Below are 22,320 nucleotides of genomic sequence, written 5' to 3'. Positions count from 1 at the left end.
AGACAGATGCATAAAACAGTAATTGTAAGTTAATGGGCACATAATGTATAAAGATGTAATTTGTGACAACAATATGAGGGGGAGGGACAGAGCTATACAGAAGTGGAGTTTTTGTATATAATAGATGCTAAGTTGATATTAAAAACTGTTATACATATAAAAGGTTACAGTCCCCAGGATAACCACTAAGCAAATAATGAGAAAAAAATACATCAAAAAAAAAAGTGATGGGAATAAAAATGGTACTATGGTACTGTGGTCTGAATGTGTCCCCTCCAAAGTTCAGGTGCTGCAAATCTGCTAGTATTAAGAGGCGGAACCTTTAAGACATCATGAGGCCATGAGGGCTCATTCCTCATTAATAGAACTAAGGCCCTTATAAAGAAAAAAAGCAGCAGCAGCTTCAGGTGGCATTTGGCTAGCTTGTTCTCTTGTCCTTCTGCAATGTGAAGACTGAACAAGAAAGTCTTCATCAGATCAGAAATAGGCTCCTCAACCTTGGACTTCTCAGCCTCTATAACTGTGAGAAATAAATTTCTTTCACTTATAAATTAGCTGGTCTGTGGTATCCTGTTATAGCAGCACAAAACAGACTAAGTACACTACCAAAAAAAATTTAATGCAAAAGAAGGTACTAATGGAGAAACTGAGGGACAAAAAAGACATGACATCATTAAAAGCAATGAGCAAAATGCCTGGCATGGCAGCTCCTGCCTGTAATGCTGTTGCTTTAAAGTTTGTTTCATCTGATATAAGAACAGCTACCCCTGCTTGCTTTCAGTGTCCATTTACATGAAATGCCTTTTTCCACATCTTTACTTTAAGTTTATGTGAGTCCTTATGTGTTAGGTTAGTCTCCTGAAGGCAGCAGATTGTTGGTTGATGAGTTCTCATGCATTCTGCAGTTCTGTACCTTTTAAGTGGAGCATTTAGGCCATTTACATTCAATGTTAGTATTGAAATGTGAGGTACCTTTGCATTCATCATGCTCTTGGTTGCCTGCATACTTTGGTTTTTTGTTTTTGTTTTTTAACTTGTGTTTTTATTTTACAGGTCCTGTGAGATTTATGCTTTAAAGATATTCTGTTTTGATGAGTTTCCTGGATTTGTTTCAAGATTTAGAGCTCCTTTTAGCAGTTCTTCTAGTAGTGGCTTAGTAATGGCGAATTCTCTCAGCATTTGTTTGTCTGAAAACGACTGTTATCTTTCCTTCATATGTGGTGCTTAGTTTCACTGGATACAAAATTCTTGGCTGATGTTTGTTTTGTTTGAGGAGGCTGTAGATAGGGCCCTAATCCCTTCTAGCTTATAGGGTTTCTGCTGAGAAATCTGTTGTTAATCTGTTAGGTTTTCCTTTATAGGTTACCTGGTGCTTCTGTCTCACAGCTCTTAAGATTTGTTCCTTCATCTTAACTTTGGATAACCTGATGACAATGTGCCTAGGCGAAGATCTTTTTGTAATGAATTTCTTGGGTGTTCTTTGTCTTTTTTTTGAGATGGAGTCTCACTCTGTCACCCAAGTTGGAGTGCAGTGGCATGATCTTGGCTCACTGTAACCTCAGCCTCCCAGGTTCAAGCGATTCTCCTGCCTCAGCCTCCCAAGTAGCTGGGACTACAGTTGTGTGTCACCACGCCCAGCTAACTTTTTGCATTTTTAGTAGAGATGGGGTTTCACTGTGTTAGCCAGGACGGTCTCGATCTCCTGACCTCATGATCCATCTGCCTCAGCCTCCCAAAGTGCTGGGATTACAGGTGTGAGCCACCGCACCTGGCCCTGTGCTTCTTATATTTGCATGTCTAGGTCTCTAGCAAGGCTGGGGAAGTTTTCCTCCATTATTCCCCCAAATATGTTTTCTAAGCTTTTAGAATTGTCTTCTTCCTCAGGAATACCGATTACTCTTAGGTTTGGTAGTTTAACATAATCCCAAACTTCTTAGAGGCTTTGTTCATATTTTCTTATTCTTTTTTCTTTGTCTTTGTTGGATTGGGTTAATTCGAACACCTTGTCTTCAAGCTCTGAATTTCTTTCTTCTACTTGTTCAATTCTATTGCTGAGACTTTCCAGAGCATTTTGCATTTCTAAAAGTGTATCCAAAGTTTCCTGAATTTTGTATTGTTTTTTCTTTTAGCTATCTATTTCATTGAATCTTTCTCTCTTCACTTCCTGTGTCACTTTCTGAATTTCCTTGCATTGGGCTTTGCCTTTCCCTGGTTCTCCCTGATTAGCTTAATAACTAACCTACTGAATTCCTTTTCAGTTATATCAGGGATTTCTTCTTGGTTTGGATCGATTGCTGGTGAACTAGTATGATTTTTAGGGGGTGTTGATGAGCCTTGTTTGGTCATATTACCAGGGGTGGTTTTCTGGTTCCATCACGTTTGGGTAGGCTCTGTCAGAGGGAAGGTCTAGGGCTGAATGCTGTTGTTCAGATTCTAGTGCACAGGGTGTTCCCTTGATGTAGTACTCTCCCCTTTTCCTGTGGTTGTGGCTTTCTGTGAGCCGAACTGCAATAATTGTTGTCTCTCTTCTGGGTTTAACCATCCAGTGAGTCTACCTGGCACCATGGTAGTACTGGGGGTTTCTGCACAGTCCTGTGATGTGAACCGTCTATGGGTCTCTCAACCACGGATACCAGCGCCTGTTCCATTGGAGGCGGCAGAAGGTGCAATGAACTCCATGAGGGTTCTTAGTTTTGGTGATTTAATGCTCCATTTTTGTGCTGGTTGGCCTCCTGCCAAGAGGTGGCACTTTCCAGAGAGCATCAGCAGTAGCAGTGCAGAGGGATCGGCAGTGGGTGGGGCCCTAGAATTCCCAAGATTATATGTCCTTTGTCTTCTGCTACCTGGGTGGGTAGGGAAGGACTGTCAGGTGGGGGTGGGGCTATGCGTGTCTGAGCAAAGACTCTCCTTGGGTGGGTCTTGCTGTGGCTGCTGTGGGGGACGGGGTGAGATTCCCAGGTCACTGGAGTTGTGCACCTAGGAGGATTATGGCTGCCTCTGCTGAGTCATGCAGGTTGTCAAAGAAGTGGGGGAAAGCCAGCAGTCACAGGCCTCACCCAGCTCCCATGCAAACTGAAGGGCTGGTCTCACTCCCACCATGCCCCCCACAACAGACCCAGATCTGTTTCCAGGTGGAAGGCAGGCTTGAAAACTGCCCAAGGCTTTCACCTCCCAGAGTATTTGGGGTGTCTCCCGGGTCCTGCAGGAGCAGTCCGCTTCCTTCAGAGAGTCTGAGGGTCCTCTCAGGATTGCTGGTTTGTTCTTGCAGTCAATCTGGAGCTAAAATTCACAATTTAAGCCTCCACATGCTGCTCTGTCAGGAGCTGCAATCTAGTCCTGCCTCCCATCTGCCATGATCCCTCTTTATACACAATCTACAGATTCAATGCAATCCGTATCAAAGTTCTAATGGCTGTTTTTGCAGAAATAAAAAAGTTGATCCTCAAATTCATATGGAATTGCAAGGAGCTCCAGATAGCCAAAATAATATTGAAAAAGAACAAAATTGGAAGATTCCATGCTTCCTGATTTCAAAGCTCAGTACAAGGTACAGAAATCAAAACAGTGTGGTACTGGCTGGCATAAGGACAGACATATAGACCAGTACAGTAGAAATTGAGATTCCAGAAATTATCCCATACATCTATGTCCAAATGAGTTTTGACAAGGGTGCAAGACCATCAATGGGGAAACTGTCTCTTCAAGAAATAGTGTTAGAAAACTGGATATTCACAAGCAAAAGAATGAAGATAAACCCCTACATCATACCATCTACAAAAATTAACTCAAAAGGGATCAATGACCTAAATATAAAAGCTAGAGCTATAATACTTTTATACAAAGCCATAGATGTCAATATTCACAACCTTGAATTTGACTATAGATAATTATGACACTAAAAGCACAAGTAACAAAAGAAAACAAACTTCATCAAAATTAAAATCTTTTGTCCACCAATAGACATTAAGAAGTTGTTGACAAGAAAACCTACAGAATAGGAGAACATATTTGCAAATCATATATCTATCTGATAAGAGTCTTGTATCCAAAATATATTAAGAACTCTTAAACTCAACAAAAAGACAACCCAATTCAAAAATAGACAAAGGAATTGGATAGACATTTCTTCAAAGAAGATGTACAAATGGCCAAAAAGCATATAAAAAGATGCTCAACGTCATTATTCATTAGAAAAATGCAAATCAAAACCACAATGAGATATCACTGCATACTTAAAAGGATGGTGTTATGAAATGAATTGTGTCCCTCAAATAAAGATATGTTGAAGTCCTAACTCCCACTACCTAAAAATGTGATCTTATTTGGAAATAGGTTATTTACAGAGGTAATCAAAATGAGGTCATTAAGGTAAGCCCTAATCCAATATTACTGGTGTCCTCCTAAAAAGAGGAAACTAGACAAAGAATGCACAGAGCAAAGATGGTGAGAAGACATACAGGGAGGAAGCCATGTGAAAATAAAGATAGAGTTTGGAGTGATGCATCTACAAGTCAAAGATTGCTAACAAACCACCAGAAGCTGGGAAAAACGTGGGAACAGATTCTCCCTCACAGCTCTCAGAAGGAATTAACCTGCCAACACCTTGACTGCTGGCTTCCAAAACTGTGAGATAAATTTTTAAAGTCACCCAGTTGGTGGAAACAACCCAGTGTCCATCAAAGGACGAATGGATAAACAAAATGTGGTACAGACATACAATGGAGTATCATTCAGCCATTCAAAAGAACAAAACACAAATGAACCTTGTAAACATGCTATATGAAGTAAGCCAGACAGTATATGATGCTATTTTATGAAATATTCAGAATAGGTAAATCCATAGAGATAGAAAGCAGATTATTGGTTTCTAGGGGCGGCAGGAGGTGATTGTTTAATAGGTGTAAGGTTTTCTTTGGGGGTGATGAAAAGGTTTGGAACTTGATAGAAATAGTAGTTGTAAAATATTGTGAATGTACTAAATGCACTGAATTGTACATTTTAAAATAGTTATTTGTATGTTATGTGACTTTCACCTCAATAAAAAAAGCAATCAGATCTTTTGAAAATCTGTTACCATATATAATTTACATTTTCTGAATTATTCTCATCTTTATTTCACATTTGTCAGTGTTTCAACAATGCATTATACATTTTCTTAAGTTTAGGTACATAAGAATTACCATTCACTTCACAGTGATGGCTTTCCATGAAAGAAGAAACCAAAAAGAATTTCAACTGGATTTAAAATAGAAAAATACTACAGAGAATCAGAACAATGTATTGTAAGAAACTTCAGCTTCACTGTCAGGCATAGGTGTGAATTCTGGCCTTATCATATATTAGTTCTATGGTTCTGAGCAGTTTCTTGCCTTCTCCAAACCTCAGCTTTCTCATCTGTAAAATAGGGATAATGTAGTGGTGGGAATCAAATGAGATACAGTTTATTTGTGTAAAGCCTCCATCACAATGCTTTGCATAAGCAGGCCAAAAATAAAACAAACCACCATGGCTTCAAATTGTTCTATTTCCAGAGACAGATCAAGCACACCCCTCATTACTACATAATAAGAAAGAAAAACTATTAAGGAGTAATAGCATTCAGAGATTACAATAAAAGATGTTAACTTCATTGTGGCATATATTACAATGAACTACAACTTTTAGATTAGTCTGTAGGCAGCAATTATTGTTTATTTATTAAGCTCTGTGAGAATTAAAGATATGCCACAAGTGATTCAGTATAACAAAAAGACAATTTTCCTATAAACTTTATGTATTTATTGTTTGTTAATTTTTGGAGAGATGGAGTCTTGCTGTATCTTCCAGGATGGAGTACAGTGGCACAATTATAGCTCACTGTAACAATTACTAGGCTCAAGCGAGCTTCCTGCTTCAGCCTCCCAAACAGCTAGAACTACAGGTGTGCATCACCACAACTGTTATTTTTATTACTTTTTTAAAGGCAGGGTCTACCTATGTTGCCCAGGGTGGTCTCCAACTCCTGGCTTCAAGCAATCCTCTCACCTCGGCCTTCCAAAGTGCTGGGATTACAGGCGTGAGCCACTGTGGCCAGCCCCAATTTTTCTATTAAAATAGGACATAGCACACCATTATAAGTCCATGAAACAAAGTACAATTTGAAAATTTCATATGCATCTTTCCACAATAGAAAAAACTTCTTCTGAGAAACAAACCATTTAAAGCCAATGAGAGATTTTACTGTCAATATTCTGAACACATATTCTCAATTTTTTTTTTTTTTTTTTTTGAGACAGAATCTCACTCTGTGGCCCAGGCTGGAGTGCAGTGGCATGATCATGGCTCACTCAGTCCCCATGGGCTCAAGCAATCCAGCAATCCTCCCACCTCAGCCTCCTGCATAGCTGACACTACAGGTGCATGCCTCGACGCCTGGCTAATTTTTGTATTTTTTTGTAGAGACTGGGTTTTGCCAAGTTACCCAGGCTGGTCTCGAACTCCTGGGCTCAAGCAACCCATAGGTCTTGGCTTCCCAAAGTGCTGGGATTCAGGCATGAGCCACCGCACCCAGCTCTAAAATTTCTGTATCTCAAAATATAAATATTTCTATCACAAAATTGCAGGTTTTTAAAGGAAAAGCTGAAGTGGAAAATAAAAGCTAAAAAACAAAAGTGTTTTTAGAATAATTAGAAACTTCAGACATCTAACTTAGGCAGAAACTATTGATAGATAGATACAATACCCAAACTAACAAAACATTGAAAGGATTTTTTAACTCACTGCCAATTTTGAAAAGAAATTAATGAAAGTATTGAGATTAAAATGTACACACACACACACATACATATATATATATATTTGAGACAGAGTCTCGCTCTGTTGCCCAGGCTGGAGTGCAGTGGCATGATCTCTGCTCACTGCAAGCTCCACCTCCCAGGTTCACACCATTCTCCTGCCTCAGCCTCCCAAGTAGCTGGGACTACAGGCGCCCGCTAGCACGCCCGGCTAATTTTTTGTATTATTAGTAGAGACGCGGTTTCATCGTGTTAGCCAGGATGGTCTCGATATCCTGACCTTGTGATCTGCCCGCTTCGGCCTCCCAAAGTGCTGGGATTATAGGTGTGAGCCACCACACCCAGCCAACGTACACCAATATTTTAAGGAGAAAAAGCTGAGGTGCCAATAAGAAATGACCAATATAGATTGTATATCTATATATTATTCACTGGTCATCAGCTATGTATTCCTGAGAAATAATTTTCCAATAGTCTTAAATTTCTGAACATTTTGCAAATAGAGGCAACAACGGCTTTTACTTCAGACCATTTTTTCAAAGATGTTCATGTAACACAATGGTCTCCAACCTTTTTGGAACCAGGGACCAGTTTCGTAGAAGACAATTTTTCCACGGGCCAGGGTGGAGAGGTGGTTTCAGGATGAAACTGTTTCACCTCAGATCATCAGACATTATTAGTTCGATTCTCATAAGGAGCGCACAACCTAGATCCCTCGCATGCACAGTTCACAATAAGGTTTGAGCTCCTATGAGAATCTAACATGGCCACTGATCTGACAGGAGGTGGGGCTCAGGCAGTAATGCTTGCTTGCCCTGGCTCACCTCCTGCTGTTCCTAACAGGCCATGGACAAGTACCAGTCCGTGGCCCAGGGGTTGGGGACCTCTGATATAATGAACAGCCCTGGAAGACAATGGTTCCTTCCACTGGATTAAAGAGCAGACATATGGCAGGAGAATTGCTTGAACCCAGGAGGCAGAGGTTGCAGTGAGCAGAGATCGCACCATTGCACTCCAGCCTGGGTGACAAGAGCGAAACTCTGTCTCAAAAAATTAATTAGTTAATTAAAAATAAATAAAAAAAAAGAGTAGACATACTTACTGTCCATAATAAAATGTTCAGATTCCCTAAATTCAGGGTTTCCCTCCTCCAACACAAGCCACTGCATGTGCAGGTAGTACCTGGCCTTCATGTTGCTCTGTGGGAAGTAGGGCTCAAGGAACGAATGCCAGAAAAGGCTGACATACTGCTATTGCTGGAATTGTCATGTCTTCCACCAGATCCCATAAAAGTGTGGCAGCTAAGTTCTTAGCTTGCAAGTAGGGTAAAATCTCAGATCCTTCACAGTTCCTAACATGGATCAGATACTATGCTAGGTACTTGGAGCTCAGAGGGATAAGGGTTAGAATTTCATACCCAAAGACCTTGCAGTCATCTAGTACTACTGCTATTACCATCTATCCATTAGGCACATGACCATTTAACTTAAACTTCATTAATAACATTATACTTTCTTTCTAACTTTTAATCAAAGTAATGTATCCAAGGAAAAAAACTGAAGTACATTATGGCTTATTATTAAAATCAACAGTTCTCATATCACATTTCTTCCCACTGCTTGGTTAGTTCCCAAGAGGCAATTACTTTAACCATTTCCATTTTTTATTACATAGGATGTTGTCTATGTCACTCTAAATTATATGTTTATACTTTAAGTTCCTGATATAAACTTAATCCACTGCATTTTTACTATGAAAAGTAAATATTTTGGCTCATTATGCTACTTACCATCTACCCTTTCTTTCTCCCCCCATTAAAAAAAAGAAATTAAGTGGTTCATGTCTATAATCCCAGCACTTTGGGAGGCCAAGGTGACAGGACTGCTTGAGCCATGAGTTCAAGACCAGCCTAGGCAACACAGCAAGACCTCTATCTCTACAAAAAAGTAAAAAATTAGCTGGGCATGGTGATGTGCAGCTGTAACCTCAGCTACTTAGGAGACTGAGGCAAGAGGATCACTTAGACCCAGGAGTTCGAGGTTGCAATAAGATATGATCACACTACTGCACTCCAGCCTGCGTGACAGAGCAAGACCCTGTCTATTTAAAAAAAAAAAAAAAAGGCGAAAAGAAAAAAAAGAAAAAAATTAAGGTATAATTTCCACACAGTAAAATATATCCCCTTTTTACTCAGGGACTAAGTTTTTTCTAAAAAAGTAAAAGTTTTTAAATAAAATATATTTCCTTTTATCATAGTTCTGCAACATTTGACAAATTCAGTTTTGATATTACCCTGCAATCAACACAGATCATTCCCATTACCCAAAAATATTTCCCTTGTCCTTTATAACACCTCTCCTGCTCCCAGCAATCACTCTGTACCTACAGATTTGTCATACAAATAGAATTATACACTATAGTGCTTTTGAGTCTGACTTCTTTCACTTGGTATAATGTATTTGAGAACCTTACATGTTAATGGGTATACCAGTAATTTATTCCTTTCTATTGACAGGTAATATTCCATTGTATGACTATACCACAATTTGTTTATCCAATCACACACTGAAGAACATCTGGGTTGTTTCTAGTTTTTGGCAATTATCAATAATGCCTACACTATAAACACTTAGGAACAGATTTTTATGTGGACTTATGCTTTTATTTCAATTCTATAAATATTAGTTACAGGTATCACTGTGTCACATAGCATGTGTAAGCTTCACTTTATAAGAAATTGCCACACTCCTTTTCAAAGTGACTCTATGACTTGCATTTCCTCCACTATTGTATGAGACTTTCAGTCACTCTGCATCCTCACTAGCACTTAGTATTGCTAGATTTTTTTAAATTAGACCAATTCTATTTGGCATATCATGGTATTCATTGTAGTTTTAAATTTCATTTCACTAATGAGCTATATTTTTTCATGTGCTTATATTTACCATTCACACTTTTTCTTTGGTGAACTGTCTACTCAAATGTTTTGCCTGTTTAAAAAACTGTTTTCTAGTTACTGAGTTTTGAGAGTTCTTTATATCTTTTGGATTCACATCTTTTATGAAATTTATGATTTGCAAATATTTTCTTCCAGTCTGTGGCTTATCTTGTTCTCTTAAAGCTGTCTTTTGCAGAGCAAAATTTTTAATTTTGGTAAAGTCTAATTTATCACTATTTTCTTTCAGGGAACACACCAAACCCAAGGTCCTGCAGATATGCTGTTTTCTTTTGTAAGTTTCACATTTTACAGTTACTTAGTTCTATAATCCATTTTTAAATAATTTTTATATAAGCTTGGAGGTATATGTCTAGGATTTTTGCATTTAGATATCCAATTGTTCTAGATCTACTTGTTCTAGAACTCTGGACTTGTTCTGGAACTCCACATTACCATTTCCTTATTAAATTGCCCTGGCACCTTTGTTTAAAAATCCGTTGCCCATATATATGTGGGTCTATTTCTGAACTCTATTCTGTCCAATTAATCTGTCTTCATCATTTCCCTAATACCACACCATCTTAATTACAACAGTTTTCAGTAAGTTTTGAAATCAGGAAACATGTGTCTCCACTTTGTTTTTCATTTTCATCAGTCTTTCATATAAAGATCTTATGTATATTTTGGATTTCTGGTACTGCTGTATATGGTATTAGGTTGCTACAAAAGTATTTGCAGTAAAAGCCACAATTATGTTTGCAGCAAACTAATACTTTTTGAAATGTTTAATTTCCAATTGTTCACTGTAAGAAATAGAAATAGAATTGATTTTTGTATATTGAGTTAGTATCCTTCGACCTACTAGTTACAGTAGCATCTTGCTAGGTTCTTTGAGATTTTTTACATTGATAATCACTTTGAGAATAGAAAAAGGTTTTCTTTCTTCTTTTCCAATCTTTTGTTTTTCTTGCTTTATTGCTCTGCTTTAAATCCTACTTTATAGGATTTCAAATTATTTACATTTGTAATGGATTTTAAAGACCTAGACTATGATCTACCTGGGTTACTATTTCATGTCTCCTGTTGTTGGGTAACATGTTCTACAGATGTTAATTAGGTAAAGTTGGTTGACAGTATTGTTCAAGGCTTCTATATCCTTCCTGACTTTCTGCCTGCTTCTTCTGTTAATTATTAAGAGGAGTGCTGAAGTCTCCAAATATAACTGTGGATTTGTCTAGTTCTCTTTTCAGTTCTCTATTATTAATTCATGTATTTTGAAGCTATGTTGTTGGGGCATAAATATTTATAATTTTTATATCGTGTTGGTGAATTGACTGCTGTGTATTTCTCTTTTCGGGGAGGAGAGGAGAATAAATGCAGGGGTACCCATTTTCTTTGGCCATATTCTGTTGTTTAATTGCTGTTTCTTAAGCTGGATACCAAGCTCGTTAATTTTCAGTGATTTTGTAACATATTAAGGTTAATTAAAAAGGAAAATGAAATGTGATCCTGTAAGTATGCTTTATAAAAAAAATCAGCAACACCAGCTGAGTCACAATGATCTCTTTTCTGATCACCAACATTTTGATTACTTAAAATATCTATTTCTTGGCCAGGCGTGGTGGGTCACGCCTATAATCCCAGCACTGTGGGAGGCCGAGGCAGGCCTCCCACCCAAGGTCAGGAGTTTAAGACTGGCCTGGCCAACATGGTGAAACCCCATCTCTACAAAAATACAAAAATTAGCTGGACATGATGAAGGGTGCCTGTAATGCCAGCTACTTGGGATGCTGAGGCGGGAGAATCACTTGAAGCCGGCAGGTGGAGGTTGCAGTGAGCCGAGATTGCGCCATTGCATTCCAGCCTGGAAGACAGAGCAAGACTCTGTCTCCAAAAATTTTAAAAAAACATCGATTTCCTATAGTTGAAGGTATCTTTTTCAAGTAGTTTTCTCTGAGATAAAAATAACCACATGGAGTTCTACCTTACATACATTTTAATGATGTTTTTCTTAACTCTCATTCAATATTTTAATGTACGCTTGGAGTTTTCAAGATCTAATCTGCACTTAGGCCAACCTGCAAAATTCAACCTTATCAAAATGTTTTACATGGAATTTTCATCCATTAACTCTCTGCCCTTTAGAATACAGTCCACCAGCTGCTTCACTCTAGTGAGATCCACTCAATAAAGACATCAAATAAAAGCAAGATATTATTTACAGCTTGCTGGCATGCACTATACATCTGTGTTCATCTCAGATAAAAGGTTACAATGCAGGTCTAAAGGGTAATGTGAAAATTACTAACCAGCTTCAGCTAAGTAAGGAGTATACTTATGGATCAAGGGCAAACGGAGAAATACAGTGGAGTCAAAAGCAAAGAGTATACAAACATGGTCATTACTATTAACTATAAACATTAATTTTCTTGAGATAATGTTAGTATATTAAGATTATTTTTTTAAAGGTGATTCTTTATGACTGCTAAAAAATGCCTCTAATTTCTTCTAGATTCCCTATCACATTTGTTGGTGGTAGTTTCTAACCTTTTCTATAACCAGAATATCATTCATAACCCCTTTACTCTCCAGCTGATGACCTTACTTTATTTACAAGGAAGAGTAAGACCAGTTGATACACTCCATCAACTTCCCTTTGCTGTGTCTTAGCTATTTCCTCTATGTTCCCACATTGCTGAGGGGTATGCCTTTCTCTGTCACCATTCTTTGGTTCAAGTACATATCGTCCTTCCTCCAATAAGTTACTTTTTCACTTTTGTCTTTGAGTTCCTATTTGCCTCTCTCTGCATACCACCATGCATACTCTAGGATCCACCTCATACCTAAATATGCCCATTCACTCTTCCAACATTTTTAAAGCACCTAACAAGTGTAACTCATTGGATTACTATGAGACAGAAAGTTAAGTAAAAATCCAGTCCTCCTTTCAGGAAACTCACAAACTATTGGGAAAGATGAACAGGTAAACAAATAATTACAATCAAGTGTAACAAATGTTAAGAGCAAAGGCATGTACAATCGAGTCATGGTATAAAGGAAAGAGAACTTAATTCTGCTTGGTTAGAGAGATATTTTCTTTCTTTTATATCTTCATCAAGCCCACCCTCTCTGACAGTTCTTTCTTCTCCTCCTCTTTCTACAGATAGGCTCAGGTCTTAAACCAGGAAATGAACAATCCTATGATGCTTAAGCTAATACCACTCTAGCATCCCCTTTACTGGCACTTTTTTTTTTTTTTTTTCTTGAGACAGGGTCTCACTCCATTGCCAATGCTGGAGTGCAGTGGCATGATCATGGCTTCCTGGAGCCTCAACTTCTTGGGCTTCCACCTCTGCCTCCTGAGTAGCTGAGGCTACAGTTGCATGCCACCACACCTGCTAATTTTTTGTAGAGACAGGTTTTTGCCATGTTTCCCAGGCTGGTCTTGAATGCCTGGGCTCAGCAATCTGCCTGCCTCAGCCTCCCTACTAAGTGCTAGCATTACAGGTACAAGCCACTGCACCTGGCCTGACACATTTTTTTTGAAAAGGTTATTTACTGTCTTTCATTAATTTTTTAAGCAAGTATAATCTTGCTTTTGGTTTCCACCATTTTACTGACACCTCACCCAAGTCAAAGTAAAATAATCCTCTCAGCATATCCAACCACCTTTTCTTAGTTCTCTCCATGAAAAGAAATCTCTGCTACAAGGGACTCTGTGGAACTTATTCTCTTCTCAAAATTTTCTCCTTGACTTTTGTGATACTTCACTACCTTAATGTATTTTCTCTCTCTCTCCCCATTTCTGTTCAGTCTTCATTGATCCCACCTCCTTTTAATGCTTGACAAAGAGAAGGATTAGCCAAGATTACATTTTCAAACACAGCTTTTGACTCCCTACCTCTTCTCTCCCTCCAGCAAACTCATGACAATAAGCTCTAAAGTAGAGTGGAGTTCAGGGAAAAAAAAAAAAATCTTAAGAGTCAGAAAGCCTGGCTTCAATTTTTGGTTCTACCACTGACTTCCTACCTATGCACCATGGCATGTCACATCCTAGGACTCCAAAAAAGAGAATGGCTTTCTACCTATGCTACAATTCTAACTGAAAAGACCATCAGATTTCTAGTCCTAAATTATCTAATGCCCTAAATCCACATTAATACCATTTAAATGCAGACATAATATGTTAACATAGATACGTTAAGAACTTGTATTGTTTTCAAAAAGGTGATCCTTTATGATTGCTTAAAAAAAAGCCACTAATTCTTTATTTCTAGATTCCTTATCAAATATGTTAGCAGCAGTTTATAACCACTAAAATTAAGTCACTCAAACCGAAACCAACTATACTTCCTTTAAGTTACCTATTAGTATTTATGTATTGGTGCCACCATTATCCTAAGCTTGAAATCTTAATACTCCTATAGTCTTTCATTTGTGCATTCTCTCTCCCTAATTCCCAACCTTTGTGCAAGGCCTAATTCAAAGGGCATCTCTTCCATAAAGGGTTCCTTGACCTCTTCAGCTGGTTATAGTCTTTCCCTCATCAGAAGACCCAAGACAGTCTATGTGTACCTCTCATGACACTTGGTTTATGTTTTTTTTTTCAGACACTGGTTTTGTGGTAGCAGGATTTATATCTGATTCTTCCTTGCATACTCTATGGCACCTTGAACACTGCTTTGCTCAAAGTACTAAAAAACTATGTAAGATTTGTTATCTGAACTTTGGACACAGAAGCAGCCGTAAAGTTGTCTAGAGTAACAATTTTCTTTAAATAAAAATAACAATTTAAAGATGTATGATGATTTAGATGGTCTAACTCTAAAATATATAATGTTCTTTTTAAGCTAAGGAAGCAGAAGCTCTTCCCCTATTCCTTCAAAATTCCAGTCAACTTGAAAGCACACTATAGAAAATAGTCTTTGCTATGTCACAATATTAATTTTTTAAAGGTAGACTTACTAAAAAATGTACTGTTTAACATTTGGTTGTACAATCTGAGCATTTCCATTGTCCATAAGACAAAGTATTTTGACAAACTATTTGATCTACCATCAGAAGTGTAGATTAAACACAGCAATAACTGATGCCTATCAGAACATTCAGCCAGTGTGTACCACATTATCATCTGCTCAGAAAACAATTTCCCAAAATGAAATATGCTGTCATTAATTTTCGGCTTCATTAATAAGCTTCCATGCATTGCTCAAAAATTTTATTTTTAAAGATGTAGTCCTCAATTGAGATAGTAAAACAAACTGAGGTGTGGGGGAAGGTTTCCAGCTTCCTTTATGACTAGGAAAAATAAAAATGCAGCTTAGCAGACAGAAGAACTAGAATTTCCCAAGAGTCTAAACCAGATAAGTCAAGGTTTTAACTTAATTCATCTTGAAGATAAGATGTCTGGTGTGAGGCCTGACAAGTAGTACACAGCATCACTGCAAGAACATTAAATAAAACCGAGAGATCTATCTAAGGCCTCGTTACTGCAGATGCAGAGAGAAGAATATGACCTACCTGGCTTATCCCTCCAGGAGAGATCTTGTATGACTGCAACTTTTGCTTCAGCAGCTCTGGATCACTGTGACGGAATGGGCACCCTGACAACAAAAAATAAGCCAGCACACAAACAAGGTTATTTATCCACAACTTAGTACAACACCACACTCGAGAGACCATCTAAGCTCCCCTTAATTGTCTAACAGCTTATTAATAAAAAAAGGTAATTGCCCATGGGTGCAACTGCTTTCCTCTTTTTATCTAAATGATTACTTAGCTGTATGGTTATCAGGGCACTCCAGGCTCAAGAGTTACATAAAACATTGCAGCATTCTCAGGCTAAGATGTCCATTCAACAGGAAGACAGCTTTAATTATGCTCCTTGCTAACAAGCACAAATAATCACAAAATAGCCGCATAATAGTTTATTTTAAAACTTTATACAATCTTCTTATATTCTAGTCTAAAAATTATATAAAAGGCATATGAGAGAAGGAAGATAGATAAACAAAATGAAAAACATGCAAACTCTGAGAAAGAAAAAAATTCAACATCATTTTCAAATGTAAATTATATGCCTATTTCCTAAAGCGTAGAATCTATGAAAATGTAAAAGAATCATGGATGGAAATGAGATGAAAAAATAAACTATTTCATAGAAAAACAACTTACGGTGGATATGTGTCATCTCTATGTTATTTCATGAAAAAAATGAAAGACCACTAGAAATATTCACATAAATAAGAATACAGAAGAATTTGAAATACAAAAGCTGTTTTAGGACAAAATCTAGAAAATTTTAGATATTTTAATAAACTGCAATGGTAAGTCAAAATGCTTATTAAAAATTTAATATAGAAAAGTCTTTTTTTTCAGTCATACAGATGACAGATTTGTAAGTTAATAATTGTGCATTTTTCACAAATTAGAAAATCTAGAGGAAATGACTAAGTTCCAGGAAACACACAACCTTCCAAGACTGAAACAGGAAGAAAGTGAAAATCTGAACAGACCAATAATGAGGTCTGAAATTGAATCTGGAATAAAAAACCTATCAACCAGAAAAAGCCCTGGACCAGGTAGATTCACAGCCAAATTCTACCAGATGTACAAAGAAGAATTGGTACCAATCCTACCAAAACTATTCCAAAAAACTGAGGAGGGGGGACTCCCCCCATTAACTCAATTTATGAAGCCAGCATCACCCTGATACCAAACTCCGGCCGAGACACAATGAAAAAAAGAAAACTTCTGGCCAATATCTCTGATGACCATAGAATCAAAAATCCTCAACAAAATACTAGCAAACTGAATCCAGCAGCACATCAAAAAGCTAATTCACCATGATCAAATAGGCTTTATTTCTGGGATGCAAGTCTGACTCAACATATGCAAATCAATAAAAGTGATTCACCACATAAACAGAATTAAAAACAAAAACCATATTATCTCAATAGAAAAAACTTTCAATAAAATCCAATATCCTGGCCAAGCGCGGTGGCTCACGCCCGTAATCCCAGCACTTTGGAAAGCCGAGGCGGGCGGATCACGAGGTAAGGAGATCAAGATCATCCTGGCTAACACAGTGAAACCCTGTCTCTACTAAAAATACAAAAAATTAGCTGGGCATGGCGGCAGGCACCTGTAGTCCCAGCTACTCAGGAGGCTGAGGCAGGAGAACGGCATGAACCCAGGAGGCGGAGCTTGCAGTGAGCCCAGATCGCACCACTGCATTCCAGCCTGGGAAACAGAGTGAGACTCTGTCTCAAAATTTAAAAAAAAAAAAAAAATCCAATATTCCTTCATGACAAAAACCCTCAAAAAACTAGATACCAAAGGAATATACCTCAAAATAATAAGAACTATCTAAGAGAAACCCACAGCCAACATCATACTGAATGGGCCAAAGCTCAAACCATTCCCCTTGAGAATGGGAACAAGACAAGGATGCCCACTCTCACCACTCTTACTCAAAATACTACTGGGAGTCCTACCCAGAGCAATCAGGCAAAAGAAAGAAATAAAAGCCATCCAAATAGGAAAAGAAGTCAAACTATCTTTCTTTGCTGATGATATGATTCTATACCTAGAAAACCCTAAAGAATGCACCAAAAAGTCTCCTGGAATTAATCAATGACTTCAGCAAAGTTTCAGGATACAAAATTAATATACAAAAATCAGTAGCATTTCTTTTTTTTGAGACAGAGTCTCACTCTGTCACCTGGTGGAGTGGTGCCATCTCAGCCAACTGCAACCTCTGCCTCCTGAATAGCTGGAATTACAGGTGCACGCCACCATGCCTGGCTAATTTTTGTTTTGCTTTTTAATTTTAGTAGAAATGAGGTTTCACCATGTTGGCCAGGCTGCTCTTGAACTCCTGACCTCAAGTGATCTACCTGTGTTGACCTCCCAAAGTGCTGGGATTACAGGCATGATCCACCACAACCAGCCTTAAAAATCAGTAGCATTTCTACATACCAACAATGTTCAAGCTGACAGCCAAATCAAAAACACAATTCTGTTTACAGTAGCCACCAAAAAATAAATAAATAAAATATTTAGGAATACATCTAAGCAAGGAAGTGAAAGATCTCTACAAGAAGAACTACAAAACGCTGCTGAAAGAAATCAGAGACAACACAAACAGGAAAACATTCCATGCTCATGGATTGGAAGAATCAATGTCATTAAAATGGCCATACCACCCTAAGTAATGTACAGATTCAATGCTATTTCTATCAAACTACCAATGTCATTTTTCACAGAATAAGAAAACAACTATTCTAAAATTCATGTGGAACTAAAAAAGAGTCTAAATGACCAAAGCAATCCTAAGCAAAAGGAACAAAGCCAGAGGCATCACTCTACCTAACTCCAAACTATACTATAAGGCTATTGTAACCAAAACAGTATGGTACTGGTACAAAAACCGACACATAGACTAATGAAACAGAATAGAGAATCAGAAATAAGACAGCATACTTACAACTATCTGACCTTCAACAAAGTCAATAAATATAGGCAATGGAGAAAGGACTCCTATTCAATAAATGTGTCGGAATAACCAGCTAGCAGAGACATGAAAATTCTAAGAACAAAAAAGAAATGCTAGCGATCAAAAACACTGTAACAGAAATGAAGAATGTCTTCAATAGGTTCATCAGTAGATTGGACATGACTGGGGAAAATCCTTGGATCTTGTAGATATGACAAACAGAAACTTCTGAAACTAAAAAGCAAAGAGAAAAAAGACGAAAACAAAACAAAACAAAATACAATACCTAAGAACTATGGGACAACTATAAAAGGTATAACGTGTAAATGAAATCCCAAAAGGTGAAAAAAGAGAGAAAAGAACAGAAGCACAGATGGGGAGAAAACATTTGCAAAAGACAAATCTGATAAAGTACTGTTATGCAAAATACACAATGAACTCTTGTAAACTATGGGCTTTGGATGATAAGGATTTGTCAATGTAGGTTCATCAATTGTAACACATGTACCAGTGTGGTGTGGGATACTGACAGCAACGGAGGTTGTGCGTGTGTTGGGGCGTGGAGGTATATGGGAACTCTGAACTTCCCACACGATTTTGCTGTGAACCTAAAACAACTCTAAAAAATTAAGTTTATTACTTTTTAAAAACAGAATAAGTAAATGTTTCCAACAGATAATGAGTTCATTGAGTGCTAAGTATAATATTTCTTGACTGACAGAGTTGAACTTAGAAACAAAATAGTAACATAAAGCACTGGGATAACAAGATACAACTTAACAGAAATAAAGTTTTGCATTTAAGCTAATGAAAACCAACTAATTAAGAGACAAATGCTAGAACCTGGAAATTTGCAGACAAATCCCTGGGAGTTTTACTTGGCCACAAGCTTAATCATAAGTTGACTGCCTGGTATGGCTGCTAGGCTAAAAAAGGCTTCAGGCTTCCTCAACAGAAGTACCTGGACCCATGGTTTTCAAACTTTAGAAGACATAAAACTCACCCAGTGTACTTGCAAATAAAGTCTGATTTTATATGACTGAGGGTGCACCCTGAGAATCTGCATTCCTAAAAAAGCACCTCAAGGGACTCTGAAATAAGTGATAAAAACCACTCAATATCTATTACCAGGCTGGGTGTGGTGGCTCAGGCCTGTAATCCTAGCACTTTGGGAGGCCAAGGCGAGCAGATCACCTGAGGCCCGCCAGCCTGGCCAACTAGGCGAAACCTCGTCTCTATTAAAAATACAAAAAATTAGCTGGGCAGGGTGGCAGGTGCCTGTAATCCTAGCTACACAGGAGGCTGAGGCAGGAGAATTGCTTGAACCCAGGAGGTGGAGACTGCAGTGAGCCGAGATCGCGCCATTGCACTCCAGCCTGGGCAACAAGAATGAAACTCTGTCTCAAAAAAAAAAAAAAAATCTATGTTTATATATAGATCTATCTTATCTGTCTATCTATATGACGAGTGCTGGCCACTTCTTCATCTATTAACTAATGAATGTATAGGCATTTTTTAATGATTTGGTCACATAGAATGTCTTTCTAAAAATATTGTTTATGATTATTTGATCTTTAGCAGTCCAAAAGTGTGCAGTCTTTTAAAAAGTGTTTAAGATTCTAAAACAAAAATAAGTTTTGACACATACTGTAGTAAGCTTTGATAATCCAGAAAATTTACTGATATAAACTATTAATTCATTCTTGGACATACCAGACAAATGAGATGTTTTGTTTTTCTTTTTAAATAACTCAGGCAAACTGATAGTTATGGCAGATATCACGACATGTTAAATTGCCCACTTAATCTTTGTTGGTTAATCAGATGATGGTGATAAGAAAAAAACCTCACACTTTTCCTTAGTAGTTAGCCTTTGGAAAATTAATGAATCTACTATTCCAAACTTAGAACATTCTAATTTCAAAAAGCTTTGTAAAACTTACATCGCCCTCTAAGACACTCGCAGAACACTGCAGAAGATGAGGGAGACAGAGAACAGCGGGAAGGAAGACAGTGAGAACTGAAAAGCCTAATCCAGCACAAACTGAAGTGCAGCTGAATGAATTTCTCTTGCCTGACCTAGTTCAGTAATAAGACAAATTGTTCTAAGAGTAATGGAGCTCTAGCTTGACAGTGACGACTGAGATAAGATACAAACTAGGTCCTGACAGGAATGCAAAAAGCCACAACATTGTTTCAGTGTTTCCAACAGAGCTCTTGGATTTCTGTACTTGGCCAACATATCCAGTGGAGGCACTTACCATGATAATCCCCTTGGCTTGGTGGATTGGACAGAATAATCTTCAGGCAACTGAAAGGTGTATAGTCTGTCCTCTTGCCTTCCTTTCCAAAGCTGTGACGGATGTTGTAAGAGTAACCTTTATCAAACTGATTGGGAGGAAATGGAAAAAGAGACAAAGTCAGCCAATAATTATACTAGTGAGGTCAGCAACACAAGCTAGAATCAAAGAGTGCAAAGCGATATTTTCTAGAATAAACTCAGCATTCACGGGCAGATGTACATTCATGCCATGTATATTATTTAGGTCCTTTATGATACAAATAATTTCTTTTTTAAAAAAAGGTACAAAACTTACAGAAAACAAATTTATCAGGTAGAAGATAGCTAATGTTACCTATACGTTTAAAGATAAAGAAAATCTTTTCCTGAGAAGAATAATGGATTTGCCCTTCTTCGTTTGATTCCAAAGATTATAGAAGAAAATCAGTTTAGCCTCTTTTCTATCCACCTTCCCCTAATTCTCCCTGAATTCCCATATCTACCCATTCTACTTCCTAAATGCCTATTAAAATAGTTAATCCTAGGCCAGGTGCAGTGGCTCATGCCTGTAATCCCAGCACTTCAGGAGGCTTAGACAAGAGGATCGCTTGAGCCCAGGAGTTCAAGACCAGCCTGGGCAACACAGTGAGACCCATCTCTACAAAAAATTAAATATTAGCTGGGTGTGGTGGCATGCACCTGTCGTCTCAGCTACTCAGGAGCCTGAGGCAGAATTATCACTTGGGCTGGGGGGTTGAGGCTGCAGTGAGCCATGATTGTGCCACTGTACTTCAGCCTGGGCAACATAGTGAGACCCAGTCTCAAAATATAATAATAATAATAATAATAATAATAATAATAATCCCTTCCTCTGGATTTCCACTATACAAAGTAGTCAGCAAATGCTTAATGAATGAAGTACTACAACTGCCTCCTACCCAGAATCCTTGCCTCCATGTTCATAAAACAAGCTAATGAGACAGAAGGGACTTTGAATTGAGTCAGACAGGAGAACAAAAGGAACCAGCATATAATGAAAAGTGACCAGGTGCCAGGCATTTTGTAGGAGCTTTTAAAAGTGTAATCCCATTTAATCATTTAGATAATCACAACTCCTCTATGATGCTACACTTGAGAAAACTGAAGTTCAAAGAATGAAGCAATGTGATGTACAACAGTTATTAAATGGTAGACATGTACAGACAAGTCTGATTCCAAAACCCATCTCTACAAAAAAATTAAATATTAGCTGTGTGTGGTGGCATGCACCTGTCATCTCAGCTACTCAGGAGCCTGAGGCAGTGAGCTATGATCGTGGCATTGCAGTCAGGGCAACAGAGCAATATTCTGACTCTAAAAAAAATTAAAAATTAAATTTAAAAAGTCACTAACCATCAGGCATTGGAAAACATTTAATGGAAGCAGAATAACGGGTTGATAGCCTTCCTAATGCTATAGTAGACCAAGGAGTACTTCACATGTTCTTCTTCATGCATGCTGGTACTGAGGTGGGTGCAAAGATCCAATAGACAGATCTTACCTCAAGGAGTTTATGGTCCTAGAGGAACTAATCACCTATGTGAATGCGTGATTAATAGAAAATAGCATGATAATGTGTCATAAAAGAAGTAAAGTGCTATAAAAATCAAATATGTTATGAAGATAAATCTTCTAGAGAGGTCTAGGTATAAGTATAGGTAAAATGCTATTGAAATATGTAGGAAGAAGAGATTACTTCTGATTTTGGACCACAAAATGAAGTGTCATTTAAAACGGAGTCTGAAAGAGAGAAGTTATGTCCTAAAAAGATTTAACTGGAAGTTCTTATTTT

At 37.8% G+C, this 22,320-nt stretch overlaps 1 protein-coding gene across 5 annotated transcripts in view; it reads right to left on the bottom strand.

Moving 5' to 3' along the window:
- PRIM2 (DNA primase subunit 2) overlaps positions 1-22,320 on the bottom strand; it is a 425,311-nt gene that overhangs the window by 25,162 nt on the left and 377,829 nt on the right. For all 5 annotated transcript variants that reach the window (XM_047418987.1, NM_000947.5, XM_047418988.1 and 2 more), the window contains 2 exons: positions 20,470-20,596; positions 15,232-15,314 (listed from right to left, as the gene is read on the bottom strand). In XM_047418987.1, the coding sequence (XP_047274943.1) occupies positions 15,232-15,314; positions 20,470-20,596 (210 nt within the window). The remainder of the gene's footprint in view (positions 1-15,231; positions 15,315-20,469; positions 20,597-22,320) is intronic.

This window comes from Homo sapiens, chromosome 6 (genome assembly GCF_000001405.40).
Source record: "Homo sapiens chromosome 6, GRCh38.p14 Primary Assembly".
NCBI classification, from domain to species: Eukaryota; Metazoa; Chordata; class Mammalia; order Primates; family Hominidae; genus Homo; species Homo sapiens.
This window is presented reverse-complemented; position numbering and strand designations above follow the sequence as displayed.